The 20,125-nt window shown below is 36.1% G+C and overlaps 1 protein-coding gene across 14 annotated transcripts in view; it reads right to left on the reverse strand.

Annotated features, from left to right (window-relative positions):
• Window positions 1-2,290: 2,290 nt before the first annotated feature.
• The window catches only part of MTMR6 (myotubularin related protein 6), a 41,267-nt gene continuing 23,432 nt past the window's right edge, over window positions 2,291-20,125 (reverse strand). For 3 of the 14 annotated variants that reach the window (NM_001385231.1, NM_001385233.1, NM_004685.5), the window contains 9 exons: window positions 17,737-17,871; window positions 14,629-14,761; window positions 13,805-13,914; window positions 13,265-13,390; window positions 10,454-10,503; window positions 9,833-10,033; window positions 7,922-8,053; window positions 7,718-7,844; window positions 2,291-5,561 (listed from right to left, as the gene is read on the reverse strand). In NM_001385231.1, the coding sequence (NP_001372160.1) occupies window positions 5,301-5,561; window positions 7,718-7,844; window positions 7,922-8,053; window positions 9,833-10,033; window positions 10,454-10,503; window positions 13,265-13,390; window positions 13,805-13,914; window positions 14,629-14,761; window positions 17,737-17,871 (1,275 nt within the window). In that variant the 3' untranslated portion in view covers window positions 2,291-5,300. The other 11 variants (NM_001385238.1, NM_001385236.1, XM_017020846.2 and 8 more) reach the window with 10 other exon arrangements.

A 20,125-nucleotide genomic window follows, 5' to 3' on the forward strand; every position in this document is an offset into this window, starting at 1 on the left:
TGAATGTTTGTACTCACTGGACCCTGCTGTTTCCGGAGGTTGTTCCTTCTGGTGGGTTCCTGGTCTTGCTGACTTCATGAAGGAAGTCACCTTCGCAATGAGTGTTACAGCTCTTAAAGGTGGCAGGAACCCAAAGAGTGAGCAGCAGCCAGATTTATTGTGAAGAGCAAAAGAACAAACCTTCCACAACGTTGAAGGGAACCCGAGTGGGTTACTGCTACTGGCTGGGAGGGTTTGGGGTGCGGGGTGATCAGCTTTTAATCCCTAATTTGTCTGCGCCCATGTCCTGCTGACTGGCCCATTTTACAGAGTGCTGATTGGTCCATTTTACAGAGTGCTGATTGGCCCATTTTACAGAGTTCTGATTGGTGCATTTTACAAACCTCTAGCTAGCCACAGAGTGCTGATTGGTGCGTTTTTACACAGCACTGATAGGTGCATTTTACAAACCTCTAGCTAGCTACAGAGTGCTAATTGGTGCGTTTTACGATCCTCTTGAGACACAAAAGTTCTCCAAGTCCCCACTTGACCCAGAAGTCCAGCTGGCCTCACCTCTCACTGCTTTCCAGTGTATGTGTACTCACTGGACCCAGCACTTCTTTTAAAAATGCCAGCAAGGCCGGGCGTGGTGGCTCACACCTGTAATCCCAGCATGTTGGGAGGCTGAGGTGGGGGGTCACGAGGTCAGGAGATTGAGACCATCCTGGCCAACATGATGGTGAAACCCCGTCTCTACTAAAATACAAAAAATTAGCCAGGCATGGTGGCACGTGCCTGTAGTCCCAGCTACTCAGGAGGCTGAGGCAGGGGAATTACTTGAACCCGGGAGGCGGAGGTTGCAGTGAGCCGAGATTGCGCCACTGCACTTCAGCCTGGCAACACAGCAAGACTCTGTCTCAAACAAACAAACAAACAAATGCAGGCAAATAAGTGTAAAAAGTTAAAACAAAATTAGAGAATCAGCATTTTGTAACACCAAAGAAATAACTGATTTGGGCAAGTATAATTAATGGATAGGTTGTTAAGGAAAGGGATATTCAATTTGATGCCAAAATATCACCCCATAGAGCATTTGCTGAGTTCAAAGGGAAAAAATGTATCTTTACAATGAAAAGATAACCAAGTGATTAAATTTAGCGTCACTAACAATGGAACCACCTGGCATTATATCCTCCCGCAGTAATTCAATATTAAGTACACAGCATCTTTCCTGAAATGCTAACTCTGAATTTCATCTAGTACCTACTTGACAGCAGGTACAGTAGACAGAGGAACAAGTTAAATTACACCACGAAGAAACAATCAGACAAAAGCAGAAAGTGGGAAAACTACAACTGGTCTGGTGCAAAAGGTCAATGCAGAGGGGAAGAGGTGACCGGCTGTTCAACACAGAGACTGATGAGCTACAACCAAATGCAATGCACAAACCTCAGCTGGCTACTGACGCAAAATAGCAGGACAAAGGCCATTTGGGAACTAATGGAAAAACAGAAATTTGTACAAATGGTTTCATCCCTCAGGAGGGGCACGCTTACACCACAGTAACAAAGAGCCCAAATTCTCAGTGGCTTAAAACAAAGGTTTATTTCTCACTCCCACTTGTATCACAATGTTTCAGAAGTGTGATGCTCCCTAGCCTGTTGCTCTTTATACAAGAGTAATTCTGAGGTGGGGCGTGGTGGCTCACGCCTGTAATCCCAGCACTTTGGGAGGCCAAAGCCAGTGGATCACCTGAGGTCAGGAGTTTGAGACCACCCTGACTAACATGGAGAAACCCCGTCTCTACTAAAACAACAAAATTAGCCCGGTGTGGTGGTGCATGCCTGTTATCCCAGCTACTCCGGAGGCTGAGGCAGGAGAATCACTTGAACCCAGAGGCGGAGGTTGTGGTGAGACAAGATTGTGCCACTTTAACTCTGTCCTGGGAAACAAGAGTGAAACTCCGTCTCAAAAAAAAAAAAAAAAAAAAAAAAAAAAGAATAATTCGGCATCCCTTTAAGAACAAACAAGATGTTTACTGACCATGATGGGTGGTTTACAGCAGTGTTTCTCAAAGTATGATTCCCCAACCATTTGCATCACAATATCCAAAATATTGCTAAGTGCAAACAATTTATTGGTATGCAAATGATTTTAACTCCAGAGTCCCAACCCCTAACTACTGAATCAGAAACTGAACACCAGGGCTATAGAGTCTACTACTAGCTTCTGAAAGTTCCTTTCAGTTATGCAGGCCACTATTTTATAAAAGTTGCCATTTAAATGGATATTTTACTTTCCTAGAAATAACTAGAGTAGCACAAATACTGTTTATTAAAATGTCAAGGTTTCATGTTTACATTTTCTTATATCAAGTACAATGGTATATATACTTTTTTTTGAGATAATTATTCTAGATTCCAGGCTTTCTTCTAGATGTAAGTTCCTAAAGCTTATAGTTTACATTGATATCTAGACATATATCTTAAACAGTCTCCAAATTTTCTTTAATTAATCAAAGTATGTTAATGTCACTTGGAATTCTACATGGAAAAGCCAACAAAATAACTAAAACTTGACTAATGAAGATCAGCGTCACTAATAAAAGTCTGCAACTGTAGTATTAGGTTGGTGCAAAAGTAATTGCGGTTTTTGTCATCACTTTCAATGGCAAAAGCCCCAATTACTTTTGCAGCAACTATATAGTTTTATAAATGATCAGCATTTAATCCAACTTAGCATGTCAACTGGAAATTTTTCAATATTTTAAAGCTGACCTTCTGCAAAAAATGTTTCAAAACAGGCTTGACTGACACCACCTCCCTGCTCTGCTACCCGACCAAATAAATTGAATTTGTTTTAAAAGAGTTCCCTTCATCTTTACTCAAGATTCCCTGAGCTACTTCTAGCCTAGCTGACCTTTTCAAAACACCCTCAATAAAATTATCCTCTTGTCAGCCAGTTATTTTCTTCCTCATATTTACATCCAGATCTGCCTTTGGAGAGACATTTCACCTCGAATGTTTGTACTCAATGGACCCTGCCTTCCATCAAGTTGGCAAGGGCACAAAAAAATAGTGATTGTAATATAAGCAAGTGACAGGAACAAAATGAAAACTTAATGACATTATTACCTACATCTGATGGGCCTTTTAGCCCACTATACCTATTTTAAATATTCTGGAAATTATTTTTGTATGAAACAGGTATTATTTATCAACAAACTTTTGGAAAATAAACTCCTCAAACCTTATGCTGTTATGTTAATGTAATGGGCAAGTCTACTTGCCTAGGTGAGAAGAAAAAAAAAACAACTACAACTTGATTCCATTTGTTTTATCCAGAAGAAAAACATTCAAAGTAAAATGTGAACATTTAATTACCTTTAAATCATATATGAAGTAATTTACATGCTATACACTTCCAAACACACTGAACATAAATTCAACTTTATAAGACATATACACAGTCTGCTTTTGCCAACATATACCCTGTAGGTCACTTAAGATGTAACTGATTTCTCAGTCCACCTGTGAGCATATAAACACACAAATATATGTCTGAAGTTGAAGATTAAGATAATAAACCAGAGTTGAATACAAGAAGTCAGCCACAGAAGATTCTAAAACCACAATCAGTGACTGGAACACCAAGGCACAAAAACTTCCCTTTGTAGTCACAGAGATTAAGTTTCCATTCCCAGTGCTTAAATATGGAAGCAGGATTGGTTAATCACATACTATATTTTATAGTGCATTTCTGTTGCTGTTTAAAAAGGAATATTTTTTAAATTACATAATGTATTACAGAAAAGCATTGGAAAAATAAACAGGATAAGATAAGCTCTCATACAATAAAGTTTTTTTTGGTCTGAAAAAGATGTTTATATTCAAAACTAATATAATAGAGGTGTAACAGAAAGTAGCATGAGGAACACTATGCAAATTGCCTAATACTCGAATTGTACTTCATGCCACCATGTTATTTAAATTTTCAATTTTAAAGCCAGTTGGGTGATATTGCTAATTCCAAGTGATAGTTTTGGGGTTTTTATGTTTTGTTTCTTGTTTTTTGGTAATTTAAAGATATGTACTAGTACACAGAATAAACAGTAAATATAACATGGCAAAATGAAATCTTTCCCAGAGTTTATGTTGCTTTTGTTAAACAGTAACTTTGTACTAGAATCTCTTTTTTTTTCTATATTTAACAAGAAGAAAAATAATGCTCCACATAGAAATGACTTCAAAATTCATGCAACCATGCACAACCTAAACTATCTGTACTTCCCTTTTTTATTTACCCAAAAGTTTTTGAGTAAACTGAAAGTTAGATACTCCAGGAACAGCAACTCATTGAGCAATAAGGCAGTTTAAAAATATACATATACATGTACTATTCATTGTTTCTCAGAACAGTTTTAGAGCTTTAGCTCTTTAAACTTACACAGTTGTGAAAGAAATAAAGCCAACCACAAAATAAGAATCAATGGAATGCAGTAATCCATATATAAAAGACAGTCAAATGTGCTTATACGTATTCAAGAAATCAATATTCTAAGCTGTAAATAATAAATTATCAAATGTAGCACTAAACAAATTATGATCAGAATAAACCTTCAGTTTCATTAATTTTGAATACAAAAGTGGGGCAGGCTAAACGTGAACAGTGTACTTCTACAAGTGTTTATATAGAAGTATTGTAGCATGCACCCCCAGCAGTAATGAGAGCACAATTCTTTACAAACAAAACAAGGCTGACCAGAAGAAAAACAAAACAAAAAATCTTGTTGTAGGCTGTAAAACTTAAGGGTAAAGAATCCACTGGGAATTTAAGGCTTTCTTAGAAATATTTTTCATGGCACTTTAACATTAAATATCACTAAAAGGCAAAATATGTAAATATTCATAGTTACAAAGCTACATAATTGAAAGTACATGCCATATCATTTATTAAGAAACTATGTTGTCAAATTTTGTTTTCTTGAAGTTAAATTGTACTTAAGGAAGGTTATTTATGTTTGGCTGAATTAACATAAATCATAAACGTCAATTCACTAGTGTACAGTGCAAATTGTGTTTTGAGTAAATACATCAAATACCACTCATTTCTTACAGAACTGAATGTCATTCCTTGCTGGAAATGCAATTAAAATGACTTATTTCTCTCACAAGGGTAGTTATTATCCTTCCTTCAACTATTAGCCTACTGTTAAACCCTAAAATTGTTATTAGACAAATTCCTTTTGGTTATGCTTACAGACCATCCTCACAATAATCCTTTTCTTGTACTGCAATCATTGCAGAAAAAACTCTATGAGTCTAACAAGTCATTCTTGCCACACCATACTCTAAGCTGACCACAGCAGGTTCTGATTTAGAAAACTCTTCTGCATATTCACTATAACGATTATCTGCCGGGCTGCTGCCCTCTATAGTTCGAAGAGCATCATTTACGGGTAGCAGAGTCTGCTCTTTAAAACACAGGGAAGTTTTGAGGTTAGGTGATTCAGGATGAACTGAATGTAACAATTCCTTGGTGAGGATGCCATCTGTTTGCTTATTTTTGCGTTGTTTAATTTTCTAGAACAAACACAAATTTGAAAAAATTACTAATTGCATAAGCCACAATATGTTACATGAAAAAAGAAAACATGCTTTTGCAAAATATGTTCTCTGTATGTATAATGCAAAACTAAATCTCAAAAAAGTAGAAACATTTAATGCATATGACATGGTTGAAAATCCTAATTGTGTACAATTTTTTGCTGTGGAAAATTGTTAGTTTTTATATTTATTAAACAAACAATCCAGCAAGACTTGACTGCAGGCGATCACTAGGCTTCCACACTTAAAATGGACATATATTACCTAGAAAGCATAACAGGTAAACATTTATAATAAAAGAAATGTGTATGAAACATTCACCCTGAAAACACAACAAACAAACTTGTGTAGCTAAAGGGCTCACTGACTATATAGAGTTTTTCTTACATGGTTTTCCTACAGTGGTTTGTTAGGTAAAAATAACAGACTTTAAACACAACAGAACTTTACTTTTTTAACAGAAGATTTTTAAAGTGTCCTGTGGCAGAGTATCATGCTCTCCAAATTCTTGGACTGTCCCGATAATCTTGTATTACCTATTATCCTGGACTTGCCTCTCTTGACCATATCCTTCTACAATTTACTCAAGCAGTCATTACCTCTTTATCTAAAAGATGACTAAGGGAGACTCCTGCCTGAGAGGTAGATGAGACAGTCTTACTGTTATAACTGTCTAGGATTTAAAAAATATATATATACTTACTGATCCTTTTTGCTTATATAGGATGGCAGAAAAAAGATTATAGGAAAGTCTTAGGGTAGAGAGGGATTTGTTAAACAAGACACACACAGAAAGCATAAAACATTGAGCAATTTGACATGAAAATTCAAAACATCTATATATAGCATACCATAAATAAAGTGGAAAAGACAATAGGCTGGACAAAACCATTTGTAATATATATAACTAACAAAGAATTAGTGCCTGGCATATAAACAACTCTTACAAATCACTAAGAAAAAGGCAAATATGCCAACAGAAAAATGAGCAAAGGTTTGAACAGTCCATTCACAGAAAAGGAAAACCAAATGGCCAACAAATATGGAAAGTCATTTAACTTCATTTGTAATCATGGAAATCCAAAACTGAAAACAATTTAAATATTCATCCATAGCTGAATGGATAGACTGTGATATATTCATATAATATAAAGTTATATAGTAGTTACTAATAAAAAGATGAATAAAAGCTACATGTATCAACATGGATAAATGTCAAAACACTGTTGAGCAAAATGAAGCACATAAACAGTATGGTAACTTTTATATAGTTTTAAAACATCAGTTTCTTAAGCAGAGTGAAGGGTATATTGGCCTATACATTGTCTGTTTCCCTTTACAACTCATACAAACATTATAGATAGTCTTTGGTATTTTTTCAATACACAGTAAAAATATTTTAAGTCAAGAAAAACAGTATTATAAATTGTGATACATGGGTGAAGACTGGGTAAGAGTATAGAGGGTCTTCAAATAGATCTATGTTTTATTTCTTTTTTTTTTGTTTGTTTTTGTTTTGAGATGGAGTCTTGCTCTGTCACCCAGGCTGGAGTGCAGAGGCATGATCTTGGCTCACTGCAACCTCCGCCTCCCAGGTTCAAGCAATTCTCCTGCTTCAGCCTCCCAAGTAGCTGGGATTACAGGCATGCGCCACCATGCCCGGCTACTTTTTTGTTATTTTTTTAGTAGAGATGGGGTTTCACTGTGCTGACCAGGCTGGTCTCAAACTCTCCTGACCTGGTGATCCACCCGCCTCGGCCTCCCAAAGTGCTGGGATTACAGGCGTGAGCCACTGCGCCCGGCCTATGTTTTATTTCTTAAAACAAGAACAAGAAAGATCTGAGGCATATATAGTAAATGTTAAAATCCCACAAAAGCTAGCTGGTGGGTACACAGATAGTTATTATGTTTATCTATACGTTATGCTATATACTTCCGGTATTTTAATGTATTTTAAAATACAAAGAAAGTGATTCGAACTAACGTATTCAATCAAAGTAGGGATGACCTGATTTTGAAGAAACTGCTTACTTCAGAAGTTTATGTGCTGATTTACACCAACAATACAAATATTAGTCTAATCGTAAACTAATTTCACATTCCAAATATATTAGATACTTCAGAATACTTACAGATTCTAGGTCTTTAATATCTTTCTCTAATTGTTTATTTTGCTCATTCATATTCATAATTATATTAAATACAGACTGCCTAGGATGCAGTGTTCGATCAAATTGATGGTACATGTTCCTCCAAAACCTTTATGACAAAAAAAAGTTTCAATAAATTGTGTTTGAGAAAATTCAAGTATAAATACTCCAATGATGTCAACTTACTTAAAATTGAAAGATACTGTATTTGGCTCCAAAACTGTAAATCTGTGAGATTCGGAACTGTAGAGAGGATTTAAGTACTTCTTTTGGTCTTCCAAAAGAAATGGCCACAGGGAATAAGTCTTCTCCTTCAACCTTAATATAATGAGAAAAACACAGAGATCTTTCCTATAGATGCAAAGTAGTAATGGTAATATTCATTTTTATAAATCAGGCGATGGCTTCCGAAGCAGATTTAAATTTTAGTTTTTTCTTGTATTCACAGTCTAACCTTGTCTCAGAATTCTGTATTATCTCTATTCTCCTTTTTCATTCATAATTAGGTAATAAAGTCATGTTTCTTGAACACAACACAGGTATAACATTTTCTCTCACAACCATATATTTTAAGGGATTCCTCTCAACTCACACAATTTCAAAAACTTGGTCTCTGTTCCACCTACTTCAAATCACCACAAACATACACATAGAACAAGACACTAATGCATCTTTCTGTCTGGCCTTCTCTTAACCCCACGTCTGGGCCGTAGTGGCGAGTATCATAGGGCAGGAGCACACGTAAGTGTGAGTGGGTACAAAAAGGGAACAGGCAAAATCAGGATGTTATGCAAGAATTTTAAAAGCCAATTATTTTGCAAATCTAAGAGTAGCTGGGCAAAGGTAAGAATGGTTTTAGACTGGACATTTACCAAGTAAACATAATGTAGGTATCCAGGGGGAAAGTGGAAAATCTCCTGATTTTTCCATAACTCCTAAGATGACCCATAGGTGTGTCTTGGAGAAAAACTACTAGGAAATATCTACTTTTACTTCCATCTTTCCATTTTTGAGAATGTTTGGCACTAATTAAGAATAGTTTTTCCTAAAATAGCTCTGTACTCCAGGAAAAGAGTTACCTCTGTGCTCCAAATTATAATAAACTATTTTGAATCACTGTAACATAGAGCTAAAGCCTCAATGTTCTTTGATTGTTCATCTCCACCATTCTCTATTCACTTTTTATTCCCTTTACGCATTTTTAGAATTTTCCACATGCTCTCAGTTCTGCTGTTTACTCTGTTGGGAGTGTGAGCATGTGGCTATCTTCAAATACTACCAGATTTAGCTTCCTTAATATGTCCCTTGGATGTTCAAAAGTCTGTTAAGTGCTCTTTATTGCCTACTGTAAGAGGCAATAAAGAAATCCAAACTCAGAAGCCCAACCTAAAACAATATACATAGGACCTCTAAGACCTACTCCAGAGATCTTCCTTACAGCAAAATTTAGGCAAAAACCCCTATCCCCGAAGACTGGTCAGGAAATAACATGAACTAGGGTCAAGTAGTGTCTCAGGGCTTTTCTGAGACCCTACTCAAGGACGGACACGCTGCAGCCAACATAGCTAGATTTATTTTCCCCAAAGAACTGTCTGTTTAGAAATGTGGGGAGAGCTATAAGGCTCCATCCTATCTTAAAACAAACCAACAGTTTAAAATATTTTACACTTTAAAACTAGCGACTGATACATTCTGGGAAATTAAACAGCATAAGGATTTCTCTGTTCTAAAATATATAAATGCAGACCGAAAAGAAGCATGAGGAGACTTTCCAGGGTGTTGACAACATTTCATATTCTGGGTGCTGGTTACATAGGTGTGTGAGTTTGGTAAGATTTACTGAGCTTCACACTTAACGCTCTATGTACTTTTCTGTATGTATGCTACACTTCAAAACACATTTTATAATGTGCTTTTACTATTAGCTGAAAGGTGGGGGAATATTAGAAGGGTACTCAGCTTTAGAAATACAAAAAATAAAATCTTTACAATAAACTTTCAAATTGTCAAGATATTTTATTAAGTTTCAAACATGATTTTTGTTAGACCTCGGCTAAGTAGGGGGAAAAGGAGACTCTTTTAATTGAATCATCTTACTTGAGCTCTTCTCTTTCCTTCTGACAATTTCCAAGGAAGTTTCCAAACTGGCATGAATGAATATGCTCATGGATCTGAAGAAGAAATGCTTCACTGAATTCAAAGGCTTGTGGAAACTGTTCGGTCAAATGCCACACACATTCCAAGAACTGAGTAAACACTGGTGAGACTTCCTTTGGGTCACCATCCAACTGGCCACACCTAACCCCACAGAAAGTATAAGCTTTTAAAAACACCTCTGAAAGGTCCATTGTTCAGGTATTGTTAATCTTAAACATACAAAAATATTCCTAAAGCACTGTTACATTAGCATGCAAAACTAGAATTTTTATTGAAACCATTTATGAGTTTTTAAACCACAGCTTTAAAGGATCTGTTACCATCTCTAAATAAAATGCAGCCCAAAAGGAAGGTAATAAATAGTCATGAAAATTAACAAGCGTACTAGAATTGAAAGAAATTACAGAAAAAAATTAAATGTCTTTACGTAAAATACAGTAAAAACCATGACACTCTTACCTCCCATCACGCATGTGAGTTCATAAGGAACAGAAACATTTTGGCATTCTAAACTTGGTTTACTAATTTTATAAAATATATGACTGTGTAACTGTGACTCACCTCTCTGAAAATTTATGTCCAAAAGAGATCCAATCCTTTTCTATTAAAACCTTAATGAGAAAAAGTAAAATTCACTTTCTGACTACTTTCAATTATTTTGTTTAGGCTGGATTAAATCTTATTAGTTTAAAAACAGTATTTACTGTACACTTTTAACTTATAAACAAAACAGCACAAAAAACCACAGGCAAAAGAATGCCAAAACCTTGATTCGAGGTGGGGTTAAAGAAGAATAAAAATGCATAAAAAGAAATAGAGTAGTTTCGTGACTTAAATTATTTCCGTTGAATTTATTACATTTTAAGTGAAAAGTACATGTTATAAAGCAGTATTACATTTAAGTTTTTGTATGTATGAAGATGATATATCATAGGAAAAAGGCTAGAAAAATGTAAACCAAAACTGCTAACAAAGGATAACTCTAGGTGGTAGACTGAGGTGGATATTTTAAAACTTTTGGCTTACTTGTACATTTTTTATATTATTTATATACTACTTTTTTTAAGAAAAAAAAACTAATGATAAAAAGACCAATTATTTTAATCAAATCATCTTACTTGAGTTCATGTTCAGATCCAAGTGTTAACATCTATCCTCTTGAATGGACTGACTTTATGTTTTCCTTGCCACAGCTTCTCTACTTACCCACTCCACTGTAAAAACAGATTTCTAACTTTTTCAGTCTAATCTAAACACATATTTGTAGTATTTAGTACACTTTATCACTTAACTATACAGTCACCAAGCACATTATTTTCATAGTGTCAAAACTGCTGGTTTTAGCTTCTCTGATTTTGTCTCAAGCCTCTGCTTTCCGCAGAAGGCTATACACTGATGTGGCTGAGGATGTAGTCGCTGGAGCTCAGGCACAGGCTCCAATCCCAGCTTCACCACTTTGTGTGACCTTGTGGCTGGAGCCACAGATTTTATTCTGGTCTCTCTGCCATTCTTCTACAAAACCATGTTTAAAGCATAACTCAATATCTTTCTCACTAAATGTATTCTTTGGCTTATCTCAGTGAAGAGCCAGAGAGCAGCACCATCCATCCTGGCACCTAATTCAGAAACTTGGAAATCATCCCAGAGGAAGACTCCTCTCTTCTATCCCACATCCAATCCATGATCAATTCTTCCTGACTCTACTTTCTTTTTTTTTTGAGACAGGGTCTCACTCTGTTGCCCAGGCTGGAGTGCAGTGGCGCAATCTTGGCTCACTGCAACCTCCGCCTCCTGGGTTCAAGTAATTCTTCTGCCTCAGCCTCCTGAGTAGCTGGGATTATAGGTACACATCACCATGCCCGGCTAATTTTTGTATTTTTAGCAGAGACAGGGTTTCACCATATTGGCCAGGCTGGTCTCGAATTCCTGACCTCATGATCCACCCGCCTTGGCCTCCCAAAGTGCTGGGATTACAGGCGTGAGCCACTGCGCCCAGCCACTGACTCTACTCTCTAAACATCCCTGGAACCCATCACCTCCCCCTTCACTTGTGTGTTACTATTTTAGTTTGGTAAAATTAAAAACTTTTGTCTCATAAGTTATCATAATAGTGTCTACACTCGCCTCCTAGCCTCCATTCCCACTCCCTTTGGCCTTCAAGATACCAAGCCACCTTTTTAAAAAGCACATCTAATCAAGTTACTGTTTGCTTGTTTAAAACTCTTTAATAGCTCCCATTATCCAAAGAGGGGAAAGCCCCATTCCAGCCTTCTCTTTCTCAGGCCCTGACCCCACTCTATTCCTCTGCCTCCAAGCCCCCTATTCTAATACTCACTCTGAACTCCATCCATCACACATTACCTGCAGTCACCCAAAGAGGTTATGCTTTGATTTACACTGTTCCTATTGCCTGGGAAGCTCTCACATCATCCCCATTTATTACATGATTTCATTTGGATGTCTAACAAATAATTAAAGCCAAACATGGCAAAGAAAATATTCCTTATCGTACACTCTCAAGGTAAGCTGAGCATTATTTTCTTATTAGCAGCACTCCCGCTTGGCCTGTCCCAGAGTCGGTATGTTAGCAGCAAAAAATAGCGGTGCTGAAAAGGGACTGGTGATTTTAAATCTTCCTTTGCTTTAAGATGGCACTGTATTTAATAATTCAAGACTAATGAAAATTTTCTAACATCTCTTCATTTAATTTACCATGAGTTAAGATGTAAATTTTGAAAACATAAGTTAATCTGCTCACACGTTTAAAAGCAAGCAAATAAAAATCTGATCATACCTTTAAAAGCAAAGAAACAAAAAAAAGGAACTAGGTCTTTATCTTCACAAAGGAGAAAATCTATTCAACTAGAAATTTTATCTTCAGATATAAAACATGCCTAATATGTTATTACACTTACTAATGCAGGTGTTTTAAATAGAAGGTTTCCTTCAGAATTTAATTTTAAGTACTCTTATTTGTGCATTGTTTTATTACATTATTTACATTTGTTAGATAAAAATGAGGGAGAAAATACTGAATATTTCCATTGCAACATTTTAGGAAAAAAAATTATTTAAATCTAAAGCTTATTGTCAGTGTTAGCACAAATGGAAATAAGTCTAATTCAAGGTTTTTCAACCTCGACAGTACTGACATTACAGGCCAGATCAGTCTTTGCTGTGAGGCTGACCCCCCAGCAAAAATTTTGTGCATTATAAAATGTTTAGTTAGCAATATCCCTGGCCACTCCCACGGATGCCAGTCTCATCATTTCCTTTAGTGCAAAACTGTCTCCAACATTGCCAAATGTCCTCTGGAGGAACATAAAATTACTCCTACTTAAGAACCATTGGTCTAACCAAATAAATCCTTACCATGAATCCTTTGATTGTCCTGTAGTAGGAATCCAATAAAAGAGAACCCAGGGAACAAACCTGGGAAGTCCTATCCCAACCATCGGAACAATGCACCAACACACTTGCATTTTCAACTGTTATTGCCTGAAAAGAAAGATCACATACATTCTAGCGTACTTTAAGGTAAACCAATAAATTCTACTTGAAAATCATACTAGCAGGTATTGTGTTACAAGGAAGTGCTATGCCTGCAATGATAATGTCACAGCATAATTTCCAAAATACACAACAAAATATGGTAACAACAAAAACACAAGCAAACAAACAAAAAAAAAACAAAGAAAAAATGCCACTTCAAAGTATTTAGGAGCATCTTTTTAAGTTTCTACATTAAGTGCTACATGATATTTTTAAGGCTGAAAATAAAGTGAAGCTCATTAAAGAGGTAAAAAATAATAAAAGTTATCTGATGAATAGATACCAGCCCCCAACAGAATACATCTACTCCTTCCCAATCATTATAGACCCCAAGACCAAATATGAAAGATAAAGTATTACTTTGGCCAAGAAGATTGCAGCATCCATAACAGCTTTGATATGGCGAAGCCATCCCGAGCTCTCCAAACCGGAGTAGAAATCATTGACAGAAAGCCCTTTAGTGCCATTGACTGAAAGAGGTATAAAAATATTTCAATTAGAATATGGCTAGAGTTTCTGCATTTCTTTTTTCAAGATCTCTCTAGATAAGTGAATGAAGAAAGAAGACAAAATAAACAGGCAAGACTCTATAAATGAAAAGATGCTATTAAAAGCTCAATAACTGATTCTTGGATATATTTTTCTATTATTCCCGTGCTTACAAAAATGCTCCAATCTCTTAAAAAACATTGTAGCACAAGCATCTAACTAAAAATAATCTTATATTTTAATTTTTTAAATTCTATACTATGACTGGAATATTTAAATGAACATTACTACAAATTAGTATTTATTGTACTGACTACTCAAGAATATCTATCTAATAACATTTTTTTTGCAAAACCATTAGAATTGTACTGTCTAATACAGCAGCCACTAACCAAATACGGCTACTAAACATTTGAAATATGGCTTGTCCAAACTCAGATGTGTAGTAAGTGTAAAATACATGCCTGATTTCTAAGAGTTGATGAAAAGAAAAATATCTCATTACTGATTTTTTTTATATTGACTACATGTTAAAATAATGTTTATAATATATTAAGTAAGGATATTATTAAAATTAATTTCACTTGTTTCTTTTTACTTTTTAAAATGTGACCACTGGAAAATTCTAAATTACATGTGACTAGCATTAGATTTCTTTTGGACAAGGGTGTCTAAAAAAGTAAGCAATAATATACCTTCCAATAATTTCTGAAGGCTGGACCTCATGACATGAATATTTTCAATTCCAACAAACTGAAATCTAATATTGGAATAGTTGTCTTCATTTTCATAACCTTTTCCAGCTGCTCTGTTGGCCATTGCATTCAGCTAAAATTAAAAGTTTTAGAAATTTAGAGACAAATTACTTTTTTAATTTACCAAAATGTCATGAAAATATTAAATAAGCAGTATTTTAGCTAGGAGGCAGTTTAAAGGAACTCATCAAAACTGAATAAGCTACCATTCATCTTTTAGTAAGTAAAAATGCCACATTATTAAATAGTAATGAAGGAGATAATAAAGTAATACGATTGCTATATAATGGAAAGGTCAAAGTTCCCATAAGTTCATGAAACCAATTCATTTATATTTTAGGCAGTTTCCATATGTTTGTAATATTTTAAAATTAAAAAGAAAGAAATGTCTCCTATCTAATTTCTAAATGATTCAGTTGAGCAGAGCTGGCTGGGGGACTTTCCTTTTACAGAATGAACCTATGAGTTTACTTCAGAACAAGCCTAGGGCATTGATCATTCTGAGAGCCATAGGGACCTGAAAATCAGATCTGAAATATGCTTCAGATTACTTGAGGGAGATTATATGAGAGATTATTGGAGGCCCATACATCATATAATATGGCATATAATCGGCTATCCTGATACATCTCTGAGAATTGGGCCAAAAATAAACTGGTCTCCAGGAAAAAACAGATTGCTCATATGCCCATGGTCTTTAGCTATTAGATCAAAATGTTGTCAGTGGTCCCTTAGGATTTGTCATGCTTAATTCTTCCAGGCTAGGATTTCATATAGTATGTTAACACAATTTATTAAAAATTCTTATGAACGTGGATAAAACGAAGCCTAAATTAGAAGAAAAGGAGCTCTTCATTTTGTGGATTGGACCTCAGTTTGGTAACAAGTACAGTTAAATTGTATCCTACTGACTCACTAGTTATTCGGTACCTAAAGTAAAATCTACAGTTAGATGTTAAAAAATGCTTCCACATTATTACTACTTGAGTTACATTTAACTAGTAAAACAATCAAAGAATGATATATTTTCTGTGAAGAAGATAATTATACAAATAAGAACTATGAGGTCCTGAAAAACAAATCACTGTATCAGACCTCATCTTCAAAAAGTCTCATATTACAATCGCCTTTTATATCTAATATTATCAAAAAAGTGTTCCAGAATTTTTCTTATGAGATATCACCAACACTCTCAACTCCTAATAAAGTCTTTTATTTTTAATAAAAGATTATCAAGTTATCAATTTCTATTTTTAAATAATTATTAATTTTTTTTTTGTCACCCAGTCTGGAGTGCAATGGCACAATCTCGGCTCACTGCAACCTCTGCCTCCTGGGTTCAAGCAATTCTCCTGCCTCAGCCTCCCAAGTAGCTGGGATTACAGGCGCCTGCCATCGCACCCAGCTAATTTTTTGTATTTTTAGTAGAGACGGGGTTTTGCCATGTTGGCCAGGCTGGTCTCAAACTCCTGACCTCAGGTGATCTACCCACCTTAGCCTTCCAAAGTGCTGGGATTACAGGTGTGAGCCACCATGTCCAGCCAGATAATTCTTTTTTTTTTTTTTGAGACGGAGTTTCGCTCTTGTTGCCCAGGCTGGAGTGCCATGGCGTGATCTCGGCTCACCACAACCTCCGCCTCCCAGGTTCAAGTGATTCTCCTGCCTCAGCCTCCCGAGTAGCTGGGATTACAGGCATTCACCACCATGCCCGGCTAATTATGTATTTTTAGTACAGACAGAGTTTCTCCATGTTGGTCAGACTGGTCTCAAACTCCTGACCTCAGGTGATCCACCCGCCGTGGCCTCCCAAAGTACAATTTACTCAAATTAATCTCTTCTTCTGGTTTCTAAATTATCTTTTGTGAAATTGCATAATGATGAGAATCACTTCTAAAATAGTGACCATTCCTTTCACAAAGCTGCCTAAAAACCACTTGCGTTCTATATTGCTCACTCGCTTTTTCTCATTGCTTTCTCTTATTTTCTCATCATTCTGGATTTTTGAAGAAATCCTCACTATAATTCTGCCAATGTCCTTTTGTGTAGCCCACCAGCTCTGCATGCGACGCTATAACAAAAATTAAAAGTAACGTTAGCTATTACCACTGAGGATTTTAATTATTTTAGTTTCAGGATCCTATATGAACTGGTTGTTTAACTATGTTAATAAAAAGAAGAAGGGACTCTGAAATTTGTCCCAATGATAAAAATTTGGCCCCATAGCACACAAGATGCCTAAGATAACCCAAATTCCTGTTCACTATTTAAAATTCTCTAGTTCAATGTTTCCTAAGTTAACTGTTTTCCTTATTTTCTTGAAAATTTCAAGCTAAAATCCATTATTTTAGCATAAAAATGTTTTGTCAATTGAAAATTCTTCAAAAAAGAATAATAAGAATTTAGGCTGGGCGCAGTGGCTCATGCCTGTAATCTCAACACTTTGGGAGGCCAACTGAGGTGGGCGGATCACTTGAGGCCAGGAGTTCGAGACCAGCCTGGTCAACATGGTGAAACCCCATCTCTACTAAAAATACAAAAAATTAGCCAGGCATGGTGGTACGTGCCTGTAATACCAGCTACTCAGGAGGCTGAAGCAGGAGAATTGCTTGAACTGGGAGGCAGAGGTTGCAGTGAGCCGAGATCACACCACTGCACTCCAGGGTGACAGAGTGCAACTCTGTCTTAAAAAAAAAAAAAAAAAAAAAAAAAAAAAAGAATAGTAACAATTTATTTTTCATAACACACATTTTATTATTTCTTCACAATAACATAAGACTTATATACTAGCAAGAGTTCTCAATATACAATTCAGCTTTCCTGAATTTATATATATCAGAAGATGTAAGAAATCACCATGAGTTACTCAGAAATTGGTTTTCTAAATTGGTATCCTTTAAATAAAGGATTGATTTCCTTAGTATCATTAGCCTTAGTTAATTTAAAACTAGGATTCAGATATTTTAAATATGGGCAAGTTTATTAACTCTCATTAAGTAAAGTAATAAAAATAATTAAACTAGCAGACTGTACTGTATTTAAAATACATACTTTTGGCCTGGTATCCATGACGTACATATAGCGATTGACTGGATTGGCTTTACTAATGGCTTGAAGCAAATGTTCATCCTCCAGGCACCTGGCACTGAATCCAGAGAGTGGCTGACTACATCGACAAATGGCAGCCTATTTTTTAAAGGACAGAAAAGAGATTATGCAAAGATCTCTAAAATGTCTTTAAAGATGCTTACAAGAAAAAAAAGCCAAAAGTGTTAAAATCAAATATGATAATTAGGAGGCATTAACTTTAAGATCCTCTTTGAATTAAATACTATTTCAATATTTTGACATTCCTAAGTTTTCCCAATATTCTATTCTCATAAGAAAACTAAATACCTCCTTATCTAGTTTGATGAAGAAACCTGGGTCCTAAGAAATAACACCCAGTCAATTCTCTGTGAAGTAACCTACTGTTATCTTCATTCTGCGCTCCATTTAGATTACAGGATCCTTCCAACTGAAGTTCAAGTAAAAGATTAGTCAATAAAAATAGAACAAGAATTTTTAAGTAGCAACACTGGAACTTTTACTTTCTAAAGGTTTTAAGATCTCTAATTAGAAATCGGCAATCTTAATATAAAATGAGAAAAATGACCTTCAATTCAAATTTGAGTTAAAATACAGTCAATCGAATAGAGCAAGAATTATCTATAAGTAGTGAGTGGTTGGATTCATTATTTACTGTTTTTTGTTTGGCTGGTTGGTTTTTGAGACAAGGTCTTGCTCTGTCACCCAGTTTGGAATGCAGTGGCGTGATCACAGCTCATTGCAGCCTTGACCTCCTGGGCTCAAGCAATCCTTCCAACTCAGCCTCCAGGGTAGCTGGGACTACAGGAACACACCACCACGCCTGACTAATTTTTGTATTTTTTGTTAAGATGGGTTTTTGCCATGTTGCCCAGGCTGGTTGTCAACTCCTGGGCTCAAGCGATCTGCCCACCTCACCTCCCAGCATGCTGGGATTACAGGCATAAGCCATCATGCCCAGCCTACTATTGTTTAAAGTCCTAAAAAAAGATTTAAAAGATTTAGATCCATATACTTTTTCTCCAATGGAAAACAAAAATACATGCAAATTCACACAATTGCATATTTTAAACTCACAAAATAAAACCACGAAAATATGATAAAACAGTAGAAAATGAACATTGCCTTATTAAATTCTTTTCAGACCTACTTTCTGATTTGTTAAGTTGTTCACAGAATAACTATTTTCAGCCCAACTTTCCAATAAACAATGTTTACACATATGGCTGTGTCAAGAGAGGCCATAACCATTTAACCTCTCTGTGATTTAGTTGTGAAAAGCAGATTAGAAACTTCTGTCTAAACCCTTACCCCTTTGCCTCTGCTCCTTCCCAAAATCCAAGTCAGGTTCGAATAAAGAAAGTTAAAATGCATAAAACCACAGGGACAAAGAGAATGGGAAAAAAGACATAGAGATGTCAATAAAATTTGGGGAGATGACAGCTGACTAGCAAGTGATAACCAATTTTACAGGACAAAGAAAGCTGCTAACTCCCTTAAGTCAGTAAGAAGCAAGGTATTTTGTGCAGCAAAATCTCAAAAGGCTCAAAACCTCTGAAGGCTTGAGCAGGTATATAACTGAAAAAAAGGAGAACTGCTTGAATGCCTGTACGAGAACTAGCTAAGACCACCAGATTCTCCCTTACCTTGAAGACAAAGTTTATTCCATGATAAGGATGAACCTGAAGACTCTATAGACAATAGACACAGCTGTGGGCAGGGGTGAAGCCCTATACTCACAAAGACTAGGAGCATTAAGTAAAGTCTACATAACAAAATGTGAAATCCTGACATCACTCTTCTCACCCTTGGATCATGGCCAGACTTACTATACACATTGGGACCAAAATTAGAGGTTTGTTCTTTAAGGAAACCAACTTATACAACAGAAAGAATCCCAAAGCCAGGCACGGTGGCTCACACCTGCAATCCCAGCACTTTGGGAGGCCGAGGCCGGTGGATCACCTGAGGTCAGGAGTTCGAAACCATCCTGGCCAAATGGTGAAACCCAATCTCTACTAAAAATATAAAAATTAGCCAGGCATGGTGGCACATGCCTGTAATCCCAGCTACTTGGGAGTCTGAGGCAGGAGAATCACTGGAACCCAGGAGGCGGAGGTTGCAGTGAGCCGAGATTGTGCCACTGCACTCCAGCCTGGGAAACAAAGCGAGACCTTGTCTCAAAGAAGAAAAAAGAAAAAAGAAAACAAAGAAAGAATCCCAAGATACAAACCATTCCTGCACACAAACTTCAAAACAGCTTGAATATGAGAACTCAGCCAAGAAACAGGTATTTGAAAGACATGAAAGACAAAAACACTAAATAAATAGAAAAAAATGGAACTCTGAGCAA

This window comes from Homo sapiens, chromosome 13 (assembly GCF_000001405.40).
Source record: "Homo sapiens chromosome 13, GRCh38.p14 Primary Assembly".
In the NCBI taxonomy this organism is placed as follows: Eukaryota; Metazoa; Chordata; class Mammalia; order Primates; family Hominidae; genus Homo; species Homo sapiens.